This window comes from Homo sapiens, chromosome 6 (assembly GCF_000001405.40).
Source record: "Homo sapiens chromosome 6, GRCh38.p14 Primary Assembly".
In the NCBI taxonomy this organism is placed as follows: Eukaryota; Metazoa; Chordata; class Mammalia; order Primates; family Hominidae; genus Homo; species Homo sapiens.
The window spans coordinates 55510881-55534889 of record NC_000006.12 but is presented as its reverse complement, the minus strand read 5'-3'; the positions used below and the strand labels follow the sequence as shown (position 1 = coordinate 55534889).

Below are 24009 nucleotides of genomic sequence, written 5' to 3'. Positions count from 1 at the left end.
GCAAATGTATATATTCAAATATATGTAATTGCTACATATCCTTGAGCGTTAGTAAATTTGTGTTGGTTCTTCGATTACCCGCACACCAAATAATCTTTAAATTTAATGGCTTAAAACAATAACAACATTTGTTTTTGCTTATGGTATTTGTGTATCAAGAATTCAGTAATGGCTCAATTCAGCATCTCTAGCTAGAGGTTTCTTAGGTACTCACAATGAGATAGACAGTGGTCAGAGCTGCAACAGCAGGGGCAGGGGGCTTGGGCAGCTGCAGGCTTGCTGTCCACCTCTCTCTTCCTGTGTTCTCAAAGACTCTCCACGTGGTCTCCTGCAGGGGCTAGTTTGGACTTTATCACAGCATAGCAGCTTTAATCTAACATAAATGGCTCAGAGTTCCAAAGATGAGTGTCTTAAGGGGTAGGCAAATGTGGTATGGCTTTTATAACCAAGCCTTGTAAATTTTATAGCATTACTTTTTCATAAGCTATTAGTTGAGTCAGTTACAAAGCCCACCGAGTTTCAAAAGGAGGGGACAGTTACCACCTTTATATTGGGTCACAGCATTCTGGAAGAGCAAGTGGGAGGGGAAATACCACTGAGGTCTTTTTATAATCTGCCACTTTTATGTTTTTAAAACTGGCCTAATAACTAACCTAATTATATGCTTTTTCTTACTAATAGTTAAATAATAAGTACAGTTGATAGATAAACAAAAAACTCCCAAATTAAAAAGAATACCTATTTTAGTACTGTCATGGCTACAATACTTACCTCACTCCTATCCACTCCCTCTATAAAATTAATTTCTTTTGCTTTAAATGAGATTAAGAGGTGTTGAAAACAGTGAACACACACCGCCACACAAATCACTGTCTTTACTGTAGAATGAAATTATGTCCCTGTATTTCTGAAGCTGTTTTTTATGTCCAGACCTGTTCATCAAAGTCCTAACTCTGTACTGACATCTTTTCAGAGTCTGTTGTAACTTCTTTTTTTTTTTTTTTGAGACGGAGTCTCGCTCTGTCGCCCAGGCTGGAGTGCAGTGGCGCGATCTCGGCTCACTGCAAGCTCCGCCTCCCGGGTTCACGCCATTCTCCTGCCTCAGCCTCCCGAGTAGCTGGGACTACAGGCGCCCGCTACCACGCCCGGCTAATTTTTTGTATTTTTAGTAGAGACGGGGTTTCACCGTGTTAGCCAGGATGGTCTCGATCTCCTGACCTCGTGATCCGCCCGCCTCGGCCTCCCAAAGTGCTGGGATTACAGACGTGAGCCACCGCGCCCGGCCGAGTCTGTTGTAACTTCTATGACACGTCTGGAATACACACATCATTCAGTTCTATATGTTAAATTATTTATGAATACCTATTTGCTTTTGAAATAATACACACTAGGAGGATCTCTTTTCAGAGCAAAATATCAATGTACTCTAGAAATGAAAAGTAGCAATTAGATTTTTGTTGCTCTTTTGTTAGCACAAACACCCAGAATTATTTTAAGTTGCCGTGTTAAATGTTTCTCTAAATTTGCAAACTTATCTCTTATTGAATGAAAATAATATAATAGTACATATTTTGGATACTAAAATAATATAATAATAGTACATATTTTGGATACTAAAATAATACAATAATAGTACATATTTTGGATACTAAAATAATATAATAATAAATATTCTGAATACTATCCTAGACACTCTATAATGTGGCAGTATATTTGATTTATATCCTATACAAGTGTTACTTATGTAATAGTGGTATTATTTACTATATCTTTACAAATAGTGATGATATAAATTCCTGAATTCCTCTGGTTAAGAGTGGGGGCTACTAATCAATTCCTGTGTTTTTAAGTAGGGATTAAGTTGAAATGCAATACTTTAAAGCTGTTCCACTGTACAATTAAATCATTGCTACTGTTACCACATAGGAGAAACAATTGCCCAAAGCCTATTTATAAATATTTAAAACACTCTTTGTCTCGCTCAAAAAAAGAATATGGAAATGTTAACACTGTTTTTGTTGGGATGGTGGAAACTATTATTATTATTATTATTATTATTATTATTATTATTATTATTATTATTATGTTTGAGACAGAGTCTTGCTTTGTTGCCCAGGCTAGAGTGCAGTGGTGTGATCTCAGCTCACTGCAACCTCTACCTCCTGGGTTCAAGCGATTCTCCTGCTTCAGCCTCTCAAGTAGCTGGGATTACAGGTGCCCACCATCGCACCCAGCTAATTTTTGTATTTTTAGTACAGACGAGGTTTCACCATCTTGGCCAGGCTGGTCTCGAACTCCTGACCTTGTGATCCACCTGCCTCAGGCTCCCAAAGTGTTGAGATTACAGGCATGAGCCACTGCACCCAGCCACTATTATTTTTTCTCTTTGGACTTTTTTTAAGGTTAATATGCAATAAAATGGGGGAAAATATTTGTTGCTAACATCGTTTGGTATTACTCAGCATTCAACAACAACTTCTACTGTACCTGGGATGTAGTTCCACTACTGTATCCTAAGAAAAAGCAAAATTTATAATGAAAGCAATAATGTCAGCAATTTTATTGTTTAATATGCTCATATTTTCAAGCAGAACATATAATTCAAGCATTTTTGTCCTTTTTACCCCCACTAGCTAAAAAGTATTATACTCGAAGATTATTATGCTCAGCATGTACTACTTTTCAGTAGGATGATAATTAATTTGCTCAATTACACTTTGACTAACAAGTTGGGTTTTCTTTGTTCTTAGATTTAAAAAAATAACCAAAACATAATATTAAAATAAAATATTCTACTTCAGAGGTCCCCAGGCTTTTTGGCACAAAGGACTGGTTTTGTGGAAGACAATTTTTCCACAAACGGGGAGGTGGGAGGTAGTTTCCAGATGATTCAAGTGCATTACGTTTACTATGTCTTTTTCCTATTATTAATACATTATAATATATAATGAAATAATTATACAACTCACTATAATGTAGAATCAGTAGGAGCCCTAAGCTTGTTTTCCTGCAACTAGACAGTCCCATATGGGGATGATAAAGACAGCGACAGTTCATCAGGCATTAGATTCTCATGAGGAGTGAACAACCTAGATCCCTTGCATGCACTCCTATGAAAATCTAATGCAGCTGCTGATCTGACCGGAGGTGGATCTCAGGAGGTAACATGAGTGATGGGGAGTGGCTGCAAATACAGATGAAACTTCACTTGCTCTCCTGCTGCTCACCTTCTGCTGTGTGGCCCCATTCCTAACCAGCCACAGACCAGTACTGGTCTGTGGACTGGGGGTTGGGTACCACTGCTTTACCTTATCTTTTATTCAATTGTATTGAGTTCATCATGTTTGTCAATTTTGTAAATAAGTTTTTCCATGAGAAAGAGAAAAAAACCTTTCAAAGCCGTGTTGGTCACATTAAAATTCCACTTTTGTATCTGACTAAAAGTACCTTAAAATTTGGTCTTGTAGAACTGTGTGCATGCATTGACATTTGAAAGGTCTGTATGTAATTGTTTAAAACCCAAATAGAGGTCCAGTATGGCTCAGAAAGACTTGATTCTGACTCTTTAGTGGTCTTTTTTGCATTACTGTGATTAGTCTGTTGATAAACATTGTTGATATTATTTTAGTGCAAACTCATTTCATTGATATGACTCCCAAGCCACTTAAGTGAAATCCACTTTGGGAAATGCAGAGTATGCCCTAGGGACTAGACTAGAGGGAATGAAAGTATTTAGTAATACTTATTTCCAGTGTGCCATAGTTACGACTTGCTCACTTGGAGATTCACATCCATTACTCAAAACCTGGTTTAAACATTAAAGCATTAAGATATTAAGCGTAGTCTGGATAGCCCAGTTTTGAGTATTTTCTAGCAGTACTTATTTTCAAGAATACATTATCCTTGTATCCTTGAGCACTTAAAATGAAACATATCATAGCAGTTATTTTTAAATAATTAGGATAATGCGTTTTAAAGACATACGTTTTGGCTGATGTTCATAAAGAGTTATGTTATTTGAATATTTTTTAAAAATAAAAATAAAGTGATTTTTCTAATTTTTAGGTACACACGGATTGATCTAATATTATCTGATTAAATTGCTGGAAAGTTCTCTAGAAGTACTATTTAGTAAACATAGAGACTTAGAAAGATAAACATGAATGCCGAAAGTAATATTGTATCCCGAATATCACATTAGACAATGGATTTTACATGTCAAAACCTACACATTAGTGAAATGTATATATGCTAATGTTTCACTTGTTTTACATTTGATAAAAGAAAAAGAATATACGTTTTTTATTTAGAGTATGCCTGTAAATCAAAAACATATTTCATAAAATATTTGATTTTATTTTGCTTTTAAAAATTTTATCCAAGCTTATTTATCTTGAACATTTGACCTATCAATTCATCACTGATTGGAATTATAATTTTTAGAATAGTAGAATATTTTATAACATCTATGGATATTAGGTATTTTCATTGTTAATATATAAGATATATTTTGAAGAATGCTATTTATTTTATAAATGTCTTGGACAAATTTAAATTTGTCATTGCAAAAACTTATAGGTTATAATTAAGAACTTTGAAATATCAACCTGTTGAAGCAAATTCATGCTAATAACCTTATAGCACTAATACTACTTACTTCAGACCTTCTTATACTGCTATAATGTGTAATCTATTTATAAATTTAACACTATTATCAGTCAAGATGGATGCATCTTGTATTGAATTCTGCTTATAATACGTAGTAAGAAATATATTTCTAGTAGCCCAAATATAGTCATCCACACCCCGCCCCCCAACCCCCCACCAGATCCTCCAGGTTTCAGGTTTTCTGAGGTTTTTATCACTTTTTCTGTCTGTTTAACCCATGCTTTCTGGTAGAGCAATACAAAATCTGAGACCTGACTCTTACTCATGTATGATATGATTTGGCGAAGTAGTTTCATCTCTCTATGCCTTGGATTGTTTCCATTTATTCACTCACCCATTTATTGCTTTTATTGTGTCTCTATTCAAAACTGTATTGAGTTCTCTGTTGGACCCAAATGTTGAATAATAAGTAGTTGCTATCGATAACCATAATATATACCTAATAAGGTAAGTGTAAAGTTAAAATAGATAATTGGAAAAAAATAATAAAAAAATCAAACTCATACAAATGGCGTTTTAAAATCAAGTGAATATCTGTAAATGAGTTATAAAATAGAACTTAGTAACCAGGGTATGTTAAGCAGTTTGTCATCGAGCACTCTGGCCAGTTTTTTTAAAGTTCTGTCTTATATCAAAACGGAGATCTCCGGATCTATATGATGGCCAAACCACAAATTTGCAGTGATGGCATTGCTTGTTGTGGTAATAAGACCCTTTTTTTTCCACAGCCAGTGTCTTATTACTTATTTCCAGTGTCTTATTACCAGTGAGTTAGTCTCCTTCCAACAACCCAGGCCTACCCTCCACTCTGTGCAAGTTGGCTTACAGAAAGAAGTGTAAGTATAGGAAGGAAACTTTGTTTACAGTCTGTATACAGTAACTACAATTAGATACAGTATTTCAAAAATCACTTCTGCTTTCATGCATGGGAAATAACAACTTTGACAGTGTTATTATCAAACATAAAGACATGATATATGAGAGGCAGCACAGTTGAGTGGAAAAAAAATTATACTGGGAGCTTTGAGACTTCTTGCCCTACTTCAGAATGATGTTGGGAACATGATTGTTTTGACATGGGAAGACCAGGAGGGTGGTCACAAAAGGCATTAACCTGAACAAATAATAACTAATGCATATTTATTATGTTTATCTTAGGAAACTAGGAAATGCTATTGAATAAAATGACTTTTATTTCTTTATCTGGAATATTGGTCTCTCAGTTTATAACTCACAGATCCATTTGGGTAGCCTGGGTCTATTTTATTAATTTAAAAAATGAATACTTGTAGACATTAGTGGATCATGACTCAAATGTCTTGCCTGCATTTACAATAGAAGAGTTTGGGTCATATGCTTCCTGTTTTGGTCACTCTTGAGACGTGTAGGCATTTCACCCCATAGAGGGCAGTACAGAGGTCCTTAGTACACAAAGGTAATGCTGAATAAGGAAGTACAGGAAATTATACACAAGACCAAGTTAGTTTCAAGGCTTCTGGACTTAAGAAGTTTTGTGAATATGGTGTCAGTCTATTTTAGCTTTGGCAGCCAAGACAGGGTATTGGGTAGAAAAAAAAAAACTGGATGTTCAATTTTCCAGAGATTTCCTGTGTTTATTATTGTAAGACTGTGATTTATTAAAACTGTCTTACTTCTTCAAGCAGACCAAGATCTCCTCTGTGCTACTGAGGCTAAGATATATGGGGTTTGTGCAAGGAGTCTGTGAATGAGACAGGGTTACTGTACCCAGGCTACAGTGCTATTCATAACTGGCTACAGCATTTTCACCCAGGGTTGTCAGGAAGAGCTCTAGTCTCATTTTTTCTCATTACTGAATTTACGAATGTATCGCCTTTAAGAGGAGTTACTGCTCAAATTGAGTTTTGAGTTATAGGGTCTGAAACCACATTATTTACATTTTTATAGTAATCGATGGCATGTGTTGAAGAAATTGCATGCTCTATGTCTCTTTCCTGTTGTACGCCTGCATATAGAAAGTAATACTGTCAGTTATGTCTAATCCAGCTACTGGAGATTGTAGACAGATAGCTTCTGACATTATCCGCTCATTTTGAAGAGATAATGAATATTGTCCTGGATTATCGATAGAGTTGGTGGTGGGGCAAAGAAAGCAAAGTATCCTTCAAAAATATATTTTTAAAATTATTTAGCAATCTATATTAGTGAAAAGGAAAAATGAGGGCTTATAGGTCCATGAGTTTAAGTCTTTTCCTAGCAAAATTTAGGATAGTTGATTAAACAGAGAATTTATGAACATGAGATGTACTCGGAAATCTTATGGATGTACCAATAAAAAGACATACCAAACTGACCTCACTTGTTTGCTGATAGTATTTCTGGAGTATTTAAAAAATATCCTTGACTATCTTGTTGATATTTCTCTGAGCAAGATATGAAATTTTACCAAAACTGGTATTTTTCCAAACTTTAGTTTTTATCAGTGAAACTTTTTTCTTTTTTGTCATGGGTAAAACTTTATGTAGAACTTCAATATATGATATAGACAAGAAAGTCACCATAAAAGATTTGTTGAGGTCCCTTCTAGGCTGTAGGAGAGGTCTTATCAGTGTCATCATCTGTTATAAGTTTTAACGAAATTTTCAATAGATATTTTTGTGTTCTTTTTCTTAAGGAGGCCCCCTCCTAAATTGCAGTCGCTTTAGGTTCAAGACCACAAAATGGGGATTCATCTCTGAATAAAAATACAATTAGCTTTCCTTTATCGAAGTAGGGTCAGAAGGCCTAGAATGTGCTAATTTGGCCCCCTTCAAGCCAACCTTATTGATTCCCAAACTTGTTAGGATTTCTAACATCTCCTGAGAAGTTTTGTTAATTATAGATTCCTGGCTCTTACAGGAGAACAGAATTAGAATCTGTACCAATATGTCCAAGAAATCTGTATTTTTAAAAAGTACCTCAAATAATGCTGATGATGGATTCAGTTTGAGAGATATTGGGCTAGATGATAAAATATGCCACAAGACTGTTCAGCCTGAAGGTGAGTTCTCTCTAGGAGCTCTGCCTTTGATATTCTGATGCACACAATCTTTAGTAGTGACTAAGATGAAGATATAGAAAAGATAAGATATGGATGATATAGAAGGTAGAAGATATGGAAGATGTGTTTATCAAGGAGGTATTAGAGAACATGCTTTGCAGTCAGATAGACTTGGGTCCCTGCCCAGCTTTTGCACTCACTAACTGGGTGACCTTTATTTCTAATATCACTATCTAGTTCTGTTGATGTTAGACTTCAACAAGGTTGGGAATCAACAAGGTTGGGAATCAGCAAGGTTGGCTTGAGGGAGGCCAAACCAGTGAACTCTAGGCCCTCTGCTCCTACTTCAATAAGGAAAGCCTAATTTTATTTTTATTCAGAGGTGAATCCCCATTTTATGGGCCTGAAGTGATTGCAATTTAGAAAGGAGTCTCTTATTAGGTTGTTAAAAATTTGTAAAAGGATACCACATAAAGAATTAAATACCCATAGGTTTAACATGTAACTCAGCATAAAGTAAATGTGCTTTTACCATTATTACCATCATTATTAACAATAAAATAGTAGAAGAATTAGTGGGAAAAAAATCACAATTCAAAGTGGATTGAATTCAAAGTGAATTCGAATTAGAATAAAGGGCTAAAACCAAGGGAGATAAATGTCAATTCAATTCAACAATCATTTATTAAATCTTATTTCATGCAAAGTATTTAAAGAGCTAATGATTTAATAATGGAAAGTGATGCATGAATCAAAAATTATACAAAATTTGATAAGAGCAATGATAGATAATACAAAGCAAGTTAGGAAGTATAGAGACATCTAAGTCAAGTTGGTTATTGAGAATGTCATGTAAGAGGAATTTTTGAGTTGAATATTGGAAAAATGAAATCAATTAACTAGATAAAAAAGGGAAAAAGATTTTTAGGCAGAAGGAATAATGTAAAGGATCAGAGACCTGAAATAGTGGGCATAATGCTGCAGACATTTTGCTATCATCAAAGGCAAGCTGGGAGCACTTCAATAAGAGTGAGGTGAGCTGTTAAGAAAAAATAGGGGTCTGGAGTCCTCCAGACCTTCAAAGGCTTAGCTGCAAATTATTCTGGAATCTCAGTAGTAAGAAGATGATAACGAAGTTCCAGCTGGGGGTAAGGATAACCTTAATATAAGGCTTTCCTTGGTTGTATATTGGTCATGGATGTCAGATCCAAGGTGACATCCATTTCTTAGAGTCCAATAAGTTGGGATTAGTGTGACCTGACCACAGTACTCTGGACCATAATAATGCTCATTGTAAAGCACAGCAAAAAAAATCTGTTTTGTAGGGTCTATGTGGGTTACACAGGAATCTACTCCAAAACTTCTACTCCTCACCGCAGGGAGGAGTTGCAGACTTTTCTAAACCATGCATATAAAGCAGCAGAGGAAATTACTGAATGTGCAGATTTCCAGTTTACAGTCTCAGAGATTTTTGGTTCATTGGGGCCAATACAGAATATAGAAATAAGCATTTTAAAAGTCGTCCCAGATCATTCTGACCTAGGCAGTCCTCAGGCCAGTATTTGGAAGCACAGCTCTAAGCACACTGGACCCTTCAGTAAATGACACATACTGAGTCGGTTCCACTTGGTGGAAGTGGGTTTTCTAAGAGAGTTCCAGCTTTGAGTCTCAGTAACTCTGGCTTAGTTAACAAGATAAAGGGCCTTAATTATTTCAGTTAGATGTAATTAAAATAAAATTTGGAGCCCCATGCTATCCTTTCATATACGAAAGCATGCTCAAAATGTCAAAATAATTAAGTCATTCCAATCTTCACTCATGCTTCATTTAGAATATTTGAAGGGACCTAATTTCATATCCTACCATAGGACTTTAAAAATCCCCCTTTTCAAATATCTTATACCCTAACTCTGTTTTAGAGCCTAAACATTTAGAGGATCTCTAAGTGATCCTTTTTTTCATTATGCCTCTAAGGCCCTCTAGAATTCTTTTTTTAGTTTTCTGATTCCATATCCCGGTGGGTGTCGCATAGACCAGCATAGACCAAGTCTGTGGATTGAAGTAAGGGAAAGATTTATGCTAACAGTGGCAGAGCTGTCTTTGAATGATGATGAGGTCATGGAAGTTGCTGGGGTCAGGAAGAGCCTTTAAATACTATTCCTCAATTTTTACTCTGTTTGATCATTTTTTGTACTTCTATAACAGATAATATTAATTACTATTACTATTACTATTAATTAATAGTAATAGTAATTAGTATTAATTACACTACTCAAAAACCCATGCTGTTACAGTTTATTCCTCTTTTCCTTTTCTTGGTTATTTTACTTCCTATTCAGTGCCTCAGAAAGTGCTGTAAAGTTTAGCCTTGTTGCATCTGTCAAGGTCCCTCATCACAAACACTGGAACCAGGAAATATGAAATTTTCCAAGGGACAATCATTAGATATGCCTCAGGTTCTTTTGTCTTCAAGGATCGCGTTTCTGGCAAAATGCAAAGTTTGAGCCAGTCTCTGGGATCATTCAGTTTGAGAGTCATTTACCACTATCTATGCCCTATTACTTCAAGTGAAGCAACTGTTTGTGCTCTTGCTAATTGATATGTCTGGATGGTTTAGGGCCACCTGTCTGTCTCTGGGTGAGATCTGCAAATCACTAGGAGATATATGGCCAACCACTTGTAGGGAACTTTAGATACTGAATACATCAATTTGGAGGATCCCGTTTTTTTTTTTTTTTTAAAGACTATAAATGCCAAATACAACATTATATAGGAAAATAAATATTAATTTTAAATGAGAAAAAAGAACTTATGAAATTTTAAAATTTTAAAAGTTAACACATATTACAAATATCTCAAAATTCAGAAAAATAAAATTTTAGTTTTAAAAATTTAAGTGAGCATCTGAGGTTAATTCATAATACGCTTTTTCTCTTATTTTGTGACTATACATTCTTTGTTCGTCTCTTTCTAAGGTCAACACTATGATGTTTTCTATGGAGAGTGTAGACAGATAATTCAGTCTTTTCTCTAGCACTGTCAATAAAACTTTATTTATAGGTTAGAAAAATCTTTCAGTTTAATAATTCATTATTAGTAATGTGTTAAGATGTAATCTAATACTTTGATATATGTAAATTTGTACGCAGATATAGTCTTTATTTTAGAAGAACTACTACAGTTTTGCACACTTCACACGGAGGAATTTTGATATATTCTATTTTTGTAATTTTATGCAATTAAAAATAGAAACATGCACAGTATAATTGTTATATGGAATATATTTTTGATAGATGAAAATTTCCATTTGATTTCACATGGATGAAAACAGATTCATTTCCTTACAACAGTATGTATATAATGTTTGGAAGAATTTTGCACAAACTAGCCTCTGGTTGTATACATTTTGAATTTTGTTTCTCCTTAACTATTTACATACTTCTGGTGCCAGTTAGTGTAGGACATTAACATGGTGAATATGCACTCTTGCTCTACTCTACAGTGAGTTGTAATATGAGGTAAAATTGTGTACTATATCTTATATGATATACTGGGTTTTATATATTTTCAGTGTATGAGAATATTTACACCAACATTCTGAAAGAGTGCAGCAATTGTGAGCTCTCCCAATTGGCAGAGTCTGGCCTGGATTTGTACATAAAAAAATATAATATAGCAACCTAAGGAATTAAATGGTATTCCAATCGCCATGTGTTACTTGAAGACCATTGCAGGAGAACCGCTGTATACATCACAGCAATACTTTGTATAACTCCCCTTTTTTCTTCTCATCTCACACCGTTTCACTGCTATAGAGCAGTCAAAGCAATTTGCCAGTAAAGCTTACCTTTCAAATCCCAGGCTGTCCTTCCCGAATATCATGACTGTTTAGATTATTTAGATTTTCTGGCTATGCCTTCCTTGTTTACCTAGGACTTCTCAGCTAGCTTCTTACCTAGTACACTATTACAAAGCATAAAATCTCTCTTGTTAGAGGGCAAGGTAGGGAAACAATTTGAGCCCTTTATCAGATAGGTGGAGTGGAGACAGGACAATGGCTGAGACTCACTTACTGGTGATGCTTGACTCAGTCATATCAACTTGACCAGGTCAGGGAAAAGGGTACAAAATATAGAGTCCTATATTTAGGTTACAAGATCTAGTTCTAAGAGAGGTGGTCAAGTTATATAATTTTGTAGATATCATTGTAAAGATACCACTGTAAAAATATCTTTGTATTTTTTTCTCACATGAATTTTAGATCCTCCTCTGAACTCTTCTGTCACTTAACAACAGTGCTAACTTAAACTTTTAATATTTCCACCCCATCACACAGTTAAATTTTCTCATCTTCAGCAGAGCTACAAAAACACACTGAATAATTTCTATGGTAATACAGAACCACCCAAAACATTCTCCTCTTCTGTAGTTTGCAAACTTATAGTGGACTAATCTCTCATTAAGTTAAAATAGTAAACATAGAAATGACATGTATCATAAATGGGTATGAGAGAATTACATATAAAAAGTGTATTACAAATGCAGCTCTGGAATTTAGAGACCTGTACATGGAGTAGCTTTGTAACTGCATTTGTTCAGGGCCGGTGCAGCGGGGAGTTAATCACTGATTAAAATCTAAATGAATAGGAGTCAACTCTTGTCAAAAAATGAATAGGAACTCTCAGTTCCTTATGTACTTCCATTTAAAGTAAATATTTATTTCACTTTATTGAACATCCCACATTGCATGTTATCAGTTGGAACTGAGTAAACTTTACTCAGTGAAAGTTCTATTTTCTCTAACTGTCATTTTGAAGAGAAGTAAAGGGTGATAGGTATTTTTACCTTTAATTTTGTGGGACTTGAAAATGAAAGAATTGTATACTTTGAAAAATGTTAAAAATTAATTCCTATAAAAAATTTCACCCTATAACTTTTTGGAGTATTTTAATAAACAGTATCCTTTAAGTTTAGGGTTATTAAATGTTTTTCTTTTACAATACACTAAAAAGTAATAATTTATCATACAAATATATGAGTATATATAAATAATATATCAATAATATACCAATCTCAGCCTTTATAATATTGAAGAGCATCAGGCCTTTCCCTGGATTAGGCTTTGGCTTAGGGGAATGTTGTGGCTGGTTTGATCTTCTGCCTAGACCACTCAAACTTTCTCCGTTTCAGCAATAAGGCTGTTTCACTTATTATCTGTGTGTAAACCAGAGTAGCACTTTTAATTCCCTTCTGACTTTTTCTTTGCATTTAAAACTTTTCTAACTGTTTGGCATAAGAGGCCTGGTTTATCACCTATCGGGGCTTTCAACATTCCTTTCTCACTAAACTTAATCATTTTAGCTTTTGATTTAAAGTGAGAGATATGTGAGTCTTCCTTTCACTTGAACATTACAGGCCATTTTAAGGTTGTTAATAGGCTTAATTTCAATATTGTTGTGTCTCAGGGAATGGGGAGGCCTAAGGAGACGGAGAGAGGTGGGGAATGCCCAATTGATAGATCAGTTGAACACACACAACCTTTACTTATTAAATTTGCCATCTTATATGGTGTGGTTCATGGTGCCACAAAATAATGACAATAGTAAAATCAAAGATCAGTGATCACAGATCACCATAACAGATATAATAATAATGAAAAAGTTTTAAGTATTGTGAGAATTACCAAAATGTGACACAGAGATACAAAGTGAGCACATTCTGTTGGAAAAATGATGCCAATAGATCTTGATCAACTCAGAGCTCCCACAAGCCTTCAATTTGTAAAAAACACAGTACCTGTGAAATACAATAAAGCACAGCTGAATAAAGCTAGGTCTGCTGTAGCCTATTTACAAAAAAACAGTTGAAACTTCCAATATGATTCTCTTTCAGAAGTTTTTGAGAAACTCTTTCATTGTTTATCACTGCATTCTCATATGCATTATCTTGAAATTCCACTAATCTCAGGGAATTTGGGTGAGCTGATGACACTAACAACACTTAAACTGTATTTTAGCCATTGCCATTGTCTGGGGAACATATTGAAAGCCTAAATATTTGGAACACATTATAGTATTCAGGTAATTACAACATGATAGGATATCTAAATGTGTATAGTGTGAACTATCCCAGTTTAATTACGTCATGATAAGAGTTAGTAGCAAATAAAATCTCTAAGCTTGTTAGGCTATAATCTTCATGATGCTTTGCATATCTTGAAAACTCTTGCAGAATGTTACGCAAATATTGTGATGATTTGGATCTATATCAAAATGTGCATGCTTAAAACAATTCTTAACCATGGTAGGCCTATTTTTTTTTTTTGGCTAGAGATATACAGATATTGCCATTTCCAGACTGTGTGCTGGTGATGGCAAAACTTGTTACTAACCAAATCATGAGGATTTTTATCATTTTAAATTTAAAAAATCACTGCAACGTCTGAAAAAAGTTTGTTAAATAAAACCAGATGTAGAAAGGCTTTCTTAAAATGTCAAAACAGTAATGTAAATGAATTGTTAGTTTCATTGTTTAAATTATAAACTTTAGACATTAAAACAATATTAAGATTGAAGTATAACATAAACTCCCCAAGAGAAAAAAAAATTAAAGCAAGGACTTTGTACCTTGAATTGGAACCTGCCCTTTTTTATTCATTGGAATAAAATGATACTCTATCAGGATTTCCTAAAACTCTTTACTTACTTGCCTTTACTGACTAAATTAAGACAGAATACTATTATTTCTTGAATGGCCTCATTATATTGTGAGCACTTTTAAAAATGTAAAAGTAGTGATTTTTTTGGATTCTACTTTCTGTATTTATCATAATTTTATTAAGATACCTTCAGTGATTATCAATTTTTAGTTTTCATGATCTGGGAACTTCATTATCATCCCTGTTCATTTTCCTTTTTTTTCTTTTATTTATTTATTTATTTATTTATTTATTTATTATTATACTTTAAGATCTGGGGTACATGTGCAGAATATGCAGTTTGTTACACAGGTATACATGTGCCATGATGGTTTGCTGCACCCATCAACCCGTCATCTACATTAGCTATTTCTCCTAATGCTATCCCTCCCCCCGCCCCCCACCCCCTGACAGGCCCCGATGTGTGATGTTCCCCTCCCTGTGTCCATGTGTTCTCATTGTTCAGCTCCCACTTATGAGTGAGAACATGTGGTGTTTGGTTTTCTTGATCTATTGATTGAAACATCTATTTAAAAAAATTATTGTTTGCTTCATTATATAAGCTTGTTCCCACTGTCTCAAGATTTTTGTTAAATTATGTGCAGAATGAATTAAATATAGGCCAAGATTATCTATATTTATTGTAGATTAAAATTTGTTTATTTGCCCATTATTCCGTTTTATGATATACTGCCAATCTCTATCCAAATCTGTATTTGGTTAGGAACATGATCTTTATTAACTTTTGTTATCATGAGAATACATATGTCTCTAATAAATACTTATACATACTATGTTTACTTAGGCTTAAGCATTAATAATATTGATTAACATTATTCTTTAGTGTTGTTTTACATTTTATTACAATATCCTAAAACTTTGCTTTTCTTTCTGCTTATTATCGGAAATAAGTTTGCTTATTTTCTTTTTGTAATTTGTGTGTGCATGCACATTTGTGTGTGCATGTTAGAAAAACAGAGACAGAGACAGAGAGTACTCACACTCTAAATAGCATCAAGCACAAAAGCTAAATTCATGGATATGCAATCAAAAACTGTGTAAATATGTACAAACTATTTACAAAGGAAGGCTATAAAATGGTGAGAATTACAATTTTGAGTAAAGTGCTCCTCTGTGTTATTAGCCACTGTGTCCTCTTCATTTTTCTTTAGTTCTATTCCCAGTACCATTTTTTTTCTACCACAGAACTTGTCACAAGATGGATTCTCACAATTACCTGAGAGTTGGCCTCTCCTATCTAGACTATCCTTTGCACCTCCCCTAAATTAATTGTTCTATAATACTACATTTAGTCCAGTCTTCTCCTTTCTCAACACCCATTCTCCATGGCTTTCTATTGCCTTCAGCATAAATCAGAATCTTTATACTAACGTGAACCTAACTCAAAGACACATCACAGTGTGTGATTTCCTCTTCATTTATAAGCTTATCCCCAATTGTTCACTACTAATCTTCTCTAGCCAAATAATATGTTACCACTTACGCAACCGTCCGTCTTTCTTTTCCAACCCTATTGGTTTTTCAGTGTTGCAGCTTTTATAGCTGTAAAATGAATTACCTGAGAACTTAGTGGCATAAGTAAACATTTACTATGCTCACTAATTCTGTGGGCCAGGATTTGAACAGGACATGGGGGACAGGTTGTGTCTGGTCTTCAGTGTCTAGGGCCTCAGCTGGATGACTCAAATGCTGGAGGCAAAAGTCATCTGGAGGCTACTTCAATCACAAATTTAGGGGGTGACACTGACTATTGGCTGGGGGCCTCAGTTCCTCTTCACATGGGTTCTCCAAGAGGGTCTCCTTATGTGGCCTCTTTGCGTAGGCTAATTTGGGCTTTCTTACAGGATGTTGGCTGATTTCCCCACAGTGGCTTTCCCCAAAAGAGAAAGCCATATGGAAGCTGTATCCTTTTTTGTAACCTGGCTTCAGAAGTCATATAGTATGATTTCCACTACATTCTAATAGTTGGAGGAATCACAGTCTACCCAGCTTCAAGGAAAAGAGTAAATAAAGTTTACCTCTTTGTGAAAAGTGGTGAGATCCTGGAAGAACATACAGGACCAGAAATATTGGTGTGGCCATTTTTTGTTGGAACAATGCCACAGTGAAGGACTGCAGCTTGTATCCCATGTGCTCTTTCAAACTCTCCCAGACTTTTATAGGCCATACCAACCTTTATTCATTCTGAACTCTTATAATCTGTGATCTCATTTACAACCAGTATATTTCTTTGAATTGTTAACATTCCATGTGTATCTGTTTTGTCTCCCCAACTATACTACTAACTACTTCAGCACAATAACCTCATTTTCCCCCAGGAAAGTAAGGTCTGTATTTTTATTTTCCACAGGACCTAGCATAGAGCTTTGGACATAGTAGGGGCTCAATAAACAGCTAGATTAAAGTCAGATAGATTTAGAATGAAATGAGAGATATCACTTTTATGCATTGTAAATGAATGTGGTAGATACTGTTTGGAGAAGACGGGAATTGGTGAGGCAGGGGATAGTGGATACAATAGTATAGAATTAAGTGAGAAAAGATCACCTGGTAAACACAAATAAATGTGTTTATGAATGAAACACGAAAGCTTAAATGTAATAAGTCATGATGGCAGTCAAAGGAAGGTACTTCTTTGCATCTTAGGTATTTAATTTCAAATTTATATGTATTTAAAAACTCATATAAGTAATGCAGATTATACTAATTGAAAGCATTAAATTTAACTCTGCTGGCATTTGAGAGTTGACAAGATGAATGTATCAATAAGAGTAAATATTGTAACATGTATTTTTATATTTAATATTATAATATTTTTCAAATGTATTTAACTATGTTTTAAAAAGCATTTTTTGTTTGGATTTATTTGCTTTTAATTTTTTAAATTCAAAAATAATGCATTCTGATGATAGCAAACCAAGTTATATAAAGAAAACCCAATAGCCCTTTTTCTGCATTTCTATATTGAGGATTCCAGTTTTGGTTTGGCATATTTTCACAGCTTTTTGCATGTTCATTTTGTATACTTTCCACTGCTTATATACTATTCTTCATATTTATTGTTCATGCCACAATTTATTATTTTTAAATATGTAAGGCTCATGGTTATGTCAATGGTAATTTCTCTGTGTGATGATTATGGGATCTGATTAATAGTTATTGTTTTAAGAAGCTAATTCTTAGACTTTGTGGCAAACTGGTAAATTTGATATTTTAATTCAAAGTTGAGTTTTTTAGAGATACAGAAAACAAAGTGTTGACAGGGTAGGTTAAATTTTTCAGGTGAAAACTCTACTGTATTAATTTGTTCACATATGAAAACGTGGTAATACTATGATAGTGTTACATAAAGCTTTATAACTATTACTAACTAAAGCACCAATGCTCACCAAATAGCATTCTGGGATCTCAGCCTTGTTAAACTGTTCTAAAGAATATGTGTAATTTACATTTTCCTAAACATTGTAAAATTTCATACACTGAAAATTATTTGGACATAAAATTTTCATGTGTATGGTAAATGAATAGCATATTGCCTTTCCAACTTTCCCCAGTCTCAGGAGTATTTCAGCCTTGGACCATGAAATGAAAGGAAGGGAATAAAGATTGGTTAAGTGAAAATAATAAAGTTCCGAATTCCTATCTGTAATAACTCATTTTACAAGATCCCATTCTGTAAAACAGTTAAACTTATCTCTACTTATTATAAGTCTATGAGACTGAGAACTACTTTCCTTTACATTCACTGGCATTTTTTTTTATTTCAGATATTAATTTAAAGACTCTAACTGTCCATGTAACTATAACCTACCTGAAACTAAAATGATTCTCGGTAACATATTCGAAGTTACACATTTACATATAACTATTATGTATTTAAGATGGCTGATCACACTGAAGTAATGAAAGGCATTCATCAATATCCAGGAGTTCGCTATCCTGTCCTTACTCCTAATCTTCAGGGTTTTCACCATGCTGTAAGTGTGCTACTAATATCTCTAAAATTGATAGGCCTCTTATCGTTTTAAAGATATTTACAAAGTTAAAATTGTGTCATATGTAACTCATCTGTAATACAAATACTATGCTAATGTACTAACATGAAGACATAGAGCTCCAAGTCCTCACAGCATTGTTGGGGACTAAAGTGGTCTATATACCTGGCTCTTCCAGCTTCACCGTTCAAAAATCAAAACACAAAAGTAAAATTCTGCATTTTTTTGTGAAATTTCTTAGAAGTATATTTTGTGCTTCTTCTTAAATAAGTAATATAGAATACTATTTAAGCATTTTTCAATGCAATTTTTATAGTTATTAATATTGTTGAATTTGGTAATTATTTTTGTCAACCTTTGTTGATCAGCTTTTTGTGTCTGTTATTTTCTCCCTCTGGGTGAAAAGCTAATTGTCATTTTATCTGGCTCTAGTTACTTTCCCTATTTATCTTCTGATTTGTTTCTTTTGATCCTCTGTGATTTAGAAATTTATATAATTTAAATAAAGCTTTAATAATTATACATATGAGACTATCCTCTTCAATTTTAAGGTGTTATCCGTATATGGGCTTATTGCATAGGTTTTGCAGCAGCTATTTCTGGTATTAATGAATATTAATGAAAAATATTCATTATATGAAACTATATTATGTAAAGTTGAGATTGTGGGGTATTAATCGTATAATGTATTTTGTTAGAACCATTTATTTTTCTCTTGGGTTTGATTTGATAAAATTTTTATTGCGTTGTTTAAAAAGTCATTTAAAAATTATAAATATTGGTGTCATCTAGTAATCCTAACAAAGTAAAGAATGTATCTTACCTTGAAGAAGATACTGAAAGGACACTCTCATGTTAACTCAGAGGGGCAAGCACTGGAGTGGAACTAATCTTGACTTTGGAGCAATTCTGTGCTCAAAACGTGACTCCAGAACTTTTACTCCCTGTGTGATATCATGCTAAGGATTTACCTTTTTTGCGCTATAGCTGTTTCATCTGTAAAATTGGCATAACAACACTTAGTTTACACAGTTGTTTGTAGATGACAAAAAGCACATCCATAGTACTAAAAACAGTACAGACAAATAGTAGATGTTCACTAATAGAGTTTTTATTTTAGAAATTGAAAATTTATTTTGGATAGAGGCATAAAAGCCAATATTTTTTAAATGTTTGAGGAAAGATGAAAAGATAGCTTTTAAGTTTTTCTCCCCCCATGTATTTTTTTTTTTTTTTCTGAGATGGAGCTTTGCTCTGTCGCCAGGCTGGAGTGCAGTGGCGTGATCTTGATTCACTGCAACCTCCGCCTCCCAGGTTCAAGCGATTCTCCTGCCTCAGCCTCCCAAGTAGCTGGGACTACAGATGTACACCACCACACCCAGCTAATTTTTGCATTTTTAGTAGAGACGGGGTTTCACCATGTTGGCCAGGATGGTCTTGATCTCTTGACCTTGTGATCTGCCTACCTTGAGTTCCCAAAGTGCTGGGATTACAGGCGTGAGCCACCGCACCTGACCTCCCCCCCATGTGTTAATGGGGGATTAGCAAGAGGGGAGAACGTAGGCAAAGTGCTAGAAATACATTAACAGAAGGTCTTAAACATCCAGCTGAATGACTGAGAGGCTTGATATTTGAAAACAAGTCACTGGAGAGCCTGGAAGAAGGAATAAAGTTGACAAAAAGTGCAAAAAGGAAATTGATTAGATTAATATTTTGCATTTAAAGACTGACAAAAAGATCAAAGCATTAGGTACACACGAGTATGGCTGTAGAAGTCAGGATACAAAAAAATAAAAGCTAGGTTAGGAGACCAAAGAAAAACTGGGGGCAAAATCTAAATGATGAATTGGAAAAATATTTTTCTGTTGGATTGTAGGAAGAGAAGATAAACAAAGTAGTTAGTATCTTCCATTTTAATAATTGGTTTGGAAATATTTTTTCATGGAGGATAAGGGTTTTATTGGGGTGCTAGTATTTTCCATAATTAGGCTTACAGTATTTCTGAAGATAATACATAATTTTTAAAAGGCATAATTAAATAGAACATCCTCATTGTGTTTTTGTGCCTCACAGACTTATGAATATTGCAGTTTGTGGATTATTCTGTTATTACAAAATATTTTTACATTTCGAAAGAATATATGTGGCAAGATGAGAGGAATCCAATTTTAAATTCTAAGGCAAATATTAAAGAATACATGTATGCCTTCATAGAGTAGTTAATCTTTATTCTACCACTGTCATTCACATTTTTGAAGTTATTAGATTTGGCTTTAAATTATATATTTTTCAGGTTGCTGCTGGAGCTACTGAGATATCAGTTTTTGGAGCTGCATCTGAATCCTTTAGCAAGAAGAATATTAACTGTTCCATTGAAGAAAGTATGGGAAAATTTGAGGAGGTTGTTAAGTCTGCAAGACACATGAATATTCCAGCACGAGGGTACTTATGAAATCCCACAAATTCTGTTTTGTTAATGTTTATTGTTAAAGCTTACTCAAAAATTATCTAGAGATTCTTATATCATTTATAAAAATATACATAGAATATCATATTTCTATTTTGTTTAATCAGGGTAATCACTATATAGTTACATCTCATTAACATCACTGCTGATTATTAGTGAGTATCTAGCTTGTGGAATGTGTCATGCAGTTGAAATCAGAGGAACTAGCATGCAAATCTGGCATTATTAACTATTTTATTAACACTCTAGCACCCAAATGCAGCCCTCTTATCTCAGCCTACATGTGCTGATAAGTTGGTATAAACTCACAACAGCTTTTGGAAAAGAATCACCTAATGTGGTTTTCAAATTTTTTTTAAAACATGACTTTTTCTTCAAAGAGTATTTTATGTAGAACTTCAATAGAATACAGCAGATATAAAATTGAGCTGCTCTGGGAAATCATTTTATCCATTCTTTCTCCCCCTCAATGGCTGACTTTTCTACTTCCTCTGGGTGATCCCAAATCACCTCCATAGTATCTTGCAGAACACTGTTTAAAAATACTTGATAAATTGCTTATAGAAGATAAATATAAACTTTCAGTTCTCTACTATTTTCTATTATATGTGATTTCTATAAATTTAGGAGTATCAGAGATATCAATCCCTTTCTCCTCGCCTTGCCTTTTTCTTGTGGAAACTTATCAGCTGTTCATTCTAAGAGATGTTGATTACAGGACATGGAAAATAAAAACTGACCCAAGATCCACAAACCTAATTTTCTCTCTCAGGAGTTTAGAAATGGTATACCAAACATGGTTACTTGTATTGAAAGATTATGTGATTTTGTCACTGAGTTCACTATTTTGGGGTTCCTAGGATGGAGCCACATGCAAACCAGTGACAGGACAGAGTAGTAGAAAGCAGAAATGGAAAAAGGAGGCTCCTAGCGGTGATGAGAGGTATGGGGGAGGGAGGAGAGGGAAAAATCTGCCTTGGTGCTTGTCTGCTTCCAGGACCAATAGTTGCCTCAAGTATTATAACCAGGCCTATGGGTTGTGAAACCTATAATGCATTTTTGTGTGTGTTTGTTTCTTAAGGAAGAATTTGTTTCTAAGACATTAGCTACTTTTTCTATTAATTTTATAAATATGGAGATATGATGAACACACATCGTAACAAGTTAAAGTGCATAGCGATTGGTAATAGAAGGTTGAAAGCTGGGGATGGATTTGGGTGCAGGCTGTACTTCCCTTAGTTGAGGTGAGCAAAGTTCATGGTAGCGGGAAAGATTCAACAGTTAATGAGAAAGATAAGTGAGTCAATTGTGACTGAAAATATTAGTGAAATGATTGGAATTTCAATCAAGGTGTTTTGGGGGAACAATTAGAGTTAGACTATACCTAGTAAAATATTTTGTTAGTTTGTTTTCTATTTATATTTTTCCTGTCCTCCATAGTAAGTCTACATGAGTTTCTAAAATTTGAAATTACTTTTGTAATTAAGATAGATGCATATCATGTAAGGACTATATGAGAAAAATTTAAAATCCAAGGCAATGTACTTCCAAAGACATAAAATAAAGGATATTTATTTTTCAGGCAAAAGTTACAAAACCACAATCAAAAAGGAGAGATATACTATTGGTTTCTCAATTCGAATATAAATAAGTTGTCTCAATTTTCTTTAAAATAAAGAGAAAGATGAAGACCCTATTCTACTTCAATATGTGTTTAAAGTGTGGAGTATAAGCTTTAAAGTAATTCTCATTGGAAAGTTAAAAAGTATGTGACTATAAGAAGTAAATTGCTTATGTAGCTTGCTCTTCAAATAGGAAGGGTTTTTTTAGTGTTGAAAGATGGATGCAAATATAAGTTGTAGGAAGTAACCTTTTATTATCTTAGCTTTCTGTTGTAAAATGGAATAGTTAATGTAACTGGGCTAATAAAAATCTTAAACCCTCTTAATACTCATTGTTTGACAAATAATATTGCCTCATCAGAAAAATGAAAACTTCTAATCGTGCTGTGGCTTAAGTTTTCCAGGCTTTGATGAACAAGAAGTGACCCACAGTAAAGCAAAATGAGTAGAGTATAGTGGAGACTTTACTGTAGAATTATAGACAAATGTATGTTTTCCAGTGTGGATTTTGTTCCTTTGGAGTACAACTCCTGAATTTTCTGAAACACTCTCATTTTCAGAAATATGCCTTTCAGTATTAGAGTTCAGCAGCTATTTGTGTAGTTGAAAATATCTTATTCCTCCCAACAATTTATATAAAGTTTAAATAAGATTTTATTTTTACTGGCAATCTGATTTTAGGTATTCACCATTGTAAGTCATAAGCCATTAGTACCTATTTAAGGAAAGGAGCCATGCTCAACTAGTTGAAACTGCAGTAGATGCTTCAGCATGTCTTGCATGGTAACAGCTGCATCAACATATACTTGATAATCATCCAGAAAATTTATGTCGTCAGTTGTCAGCTTTAAAGGCCATAGCAGTACACATTTTATAAAAGCACACTAAAACTATTAAAATTTTTATAAAATAGTAAACATTCATATAGTCCAAATAGTAGCTTTTATTACAGTTATGAAGGCTATTGTTAAATTCCCCCCACACACTCACTGAAACACACACACAACACATGCATGTGTACACATTTTTAACACACGCTCAGAACTGTACATAACGTCTGGGACACATTGTGAAGAGATACCATGCCAAATCAGTGACAAAATGCAGAGTCAGCAAACTACTGGTTATATGCGAATGCAAAATGAAATATCCGCAGTTTGGATTTTATTTTTTAATGTGCAGTTCATGTGACTTTTTTTAAATCTAGATAATTTTTCTATTAACTGTCTAAATTGTAAAAGGTTAAGAGGGCAAAGAAAAATAAAAGCCAATGACAAATGTGATTATTTTCCTTTTATCAATGGTATTTATTGAAAGAAATATCTATTGGCTTGCCAGGATCCTTTTAAAATTGAAATTCTTCAAGATATGAAGTAGTACTTTAATATATAAGACATTCAGAATTTATTATTTTTGTCTAAAGTGATTATCAGCTTCTCTTTATTGAAATGACATTAATCACATGCTCACTCTTTGTGAGAGTATTAATTTAAAAAGGAAATTCTTAGTAAGTTGCCATT

At 34.0% G+C, this 24009-nt stretch overlaps 1 protein-coding gene across 10 annotated transcripts in view, besides 1 other annotated feature; it reads left to right on the top strand.

Moving 5' to 3' along the window:
• The window catches only part of HMGCLL1 (3-hydroxy-3-methylglutaryl-CoA lyase like 1), a 244547-nt gene that overhangs the window by 144030 nt on the left and 76508 nt on the right, over window positions 1-24009 (top strand). For 6 of the 10 annotated variants that reach the window (XM_047418902.1, XM_047418904.1, NM_001042406.2 and 3 more), the window contains 2 exons: window positions 18287-18382; window positions 20694-20842. The exons of 2 other annotated variants lie outside the window; for them this stretch is intronic. In XM_047418902.1, coding sequence (XP_047274858.1) covers window positions 18287-18382; window positions 20694-20842 — 245 coding nt within the window. Of the gene's footprint in view, window positions 1-18286; window positions 18383-20693; window positions 22816-24009 lie in introns of those variants that run through there. 2 more of the 10 variants (NR_109867.2, NM_001287741.2) reach the window with 2 other exon arrangements.
• Window positions 5905-6199: an enhancer, noted in NCBI's record as "tiled region #3486; K562 Activating non-DNase unmatched - State 13:Ctcf". NCBI's record gives its function as "activates a minimal TATA promoter and a strong SV40 promoter by Sharpr-MPRA in K562 cells {active_cell/tissue: K562}" and the evidence as "EXISTENCE:reporter gene assay evidence [ECO:0000049][PMID:27701403]".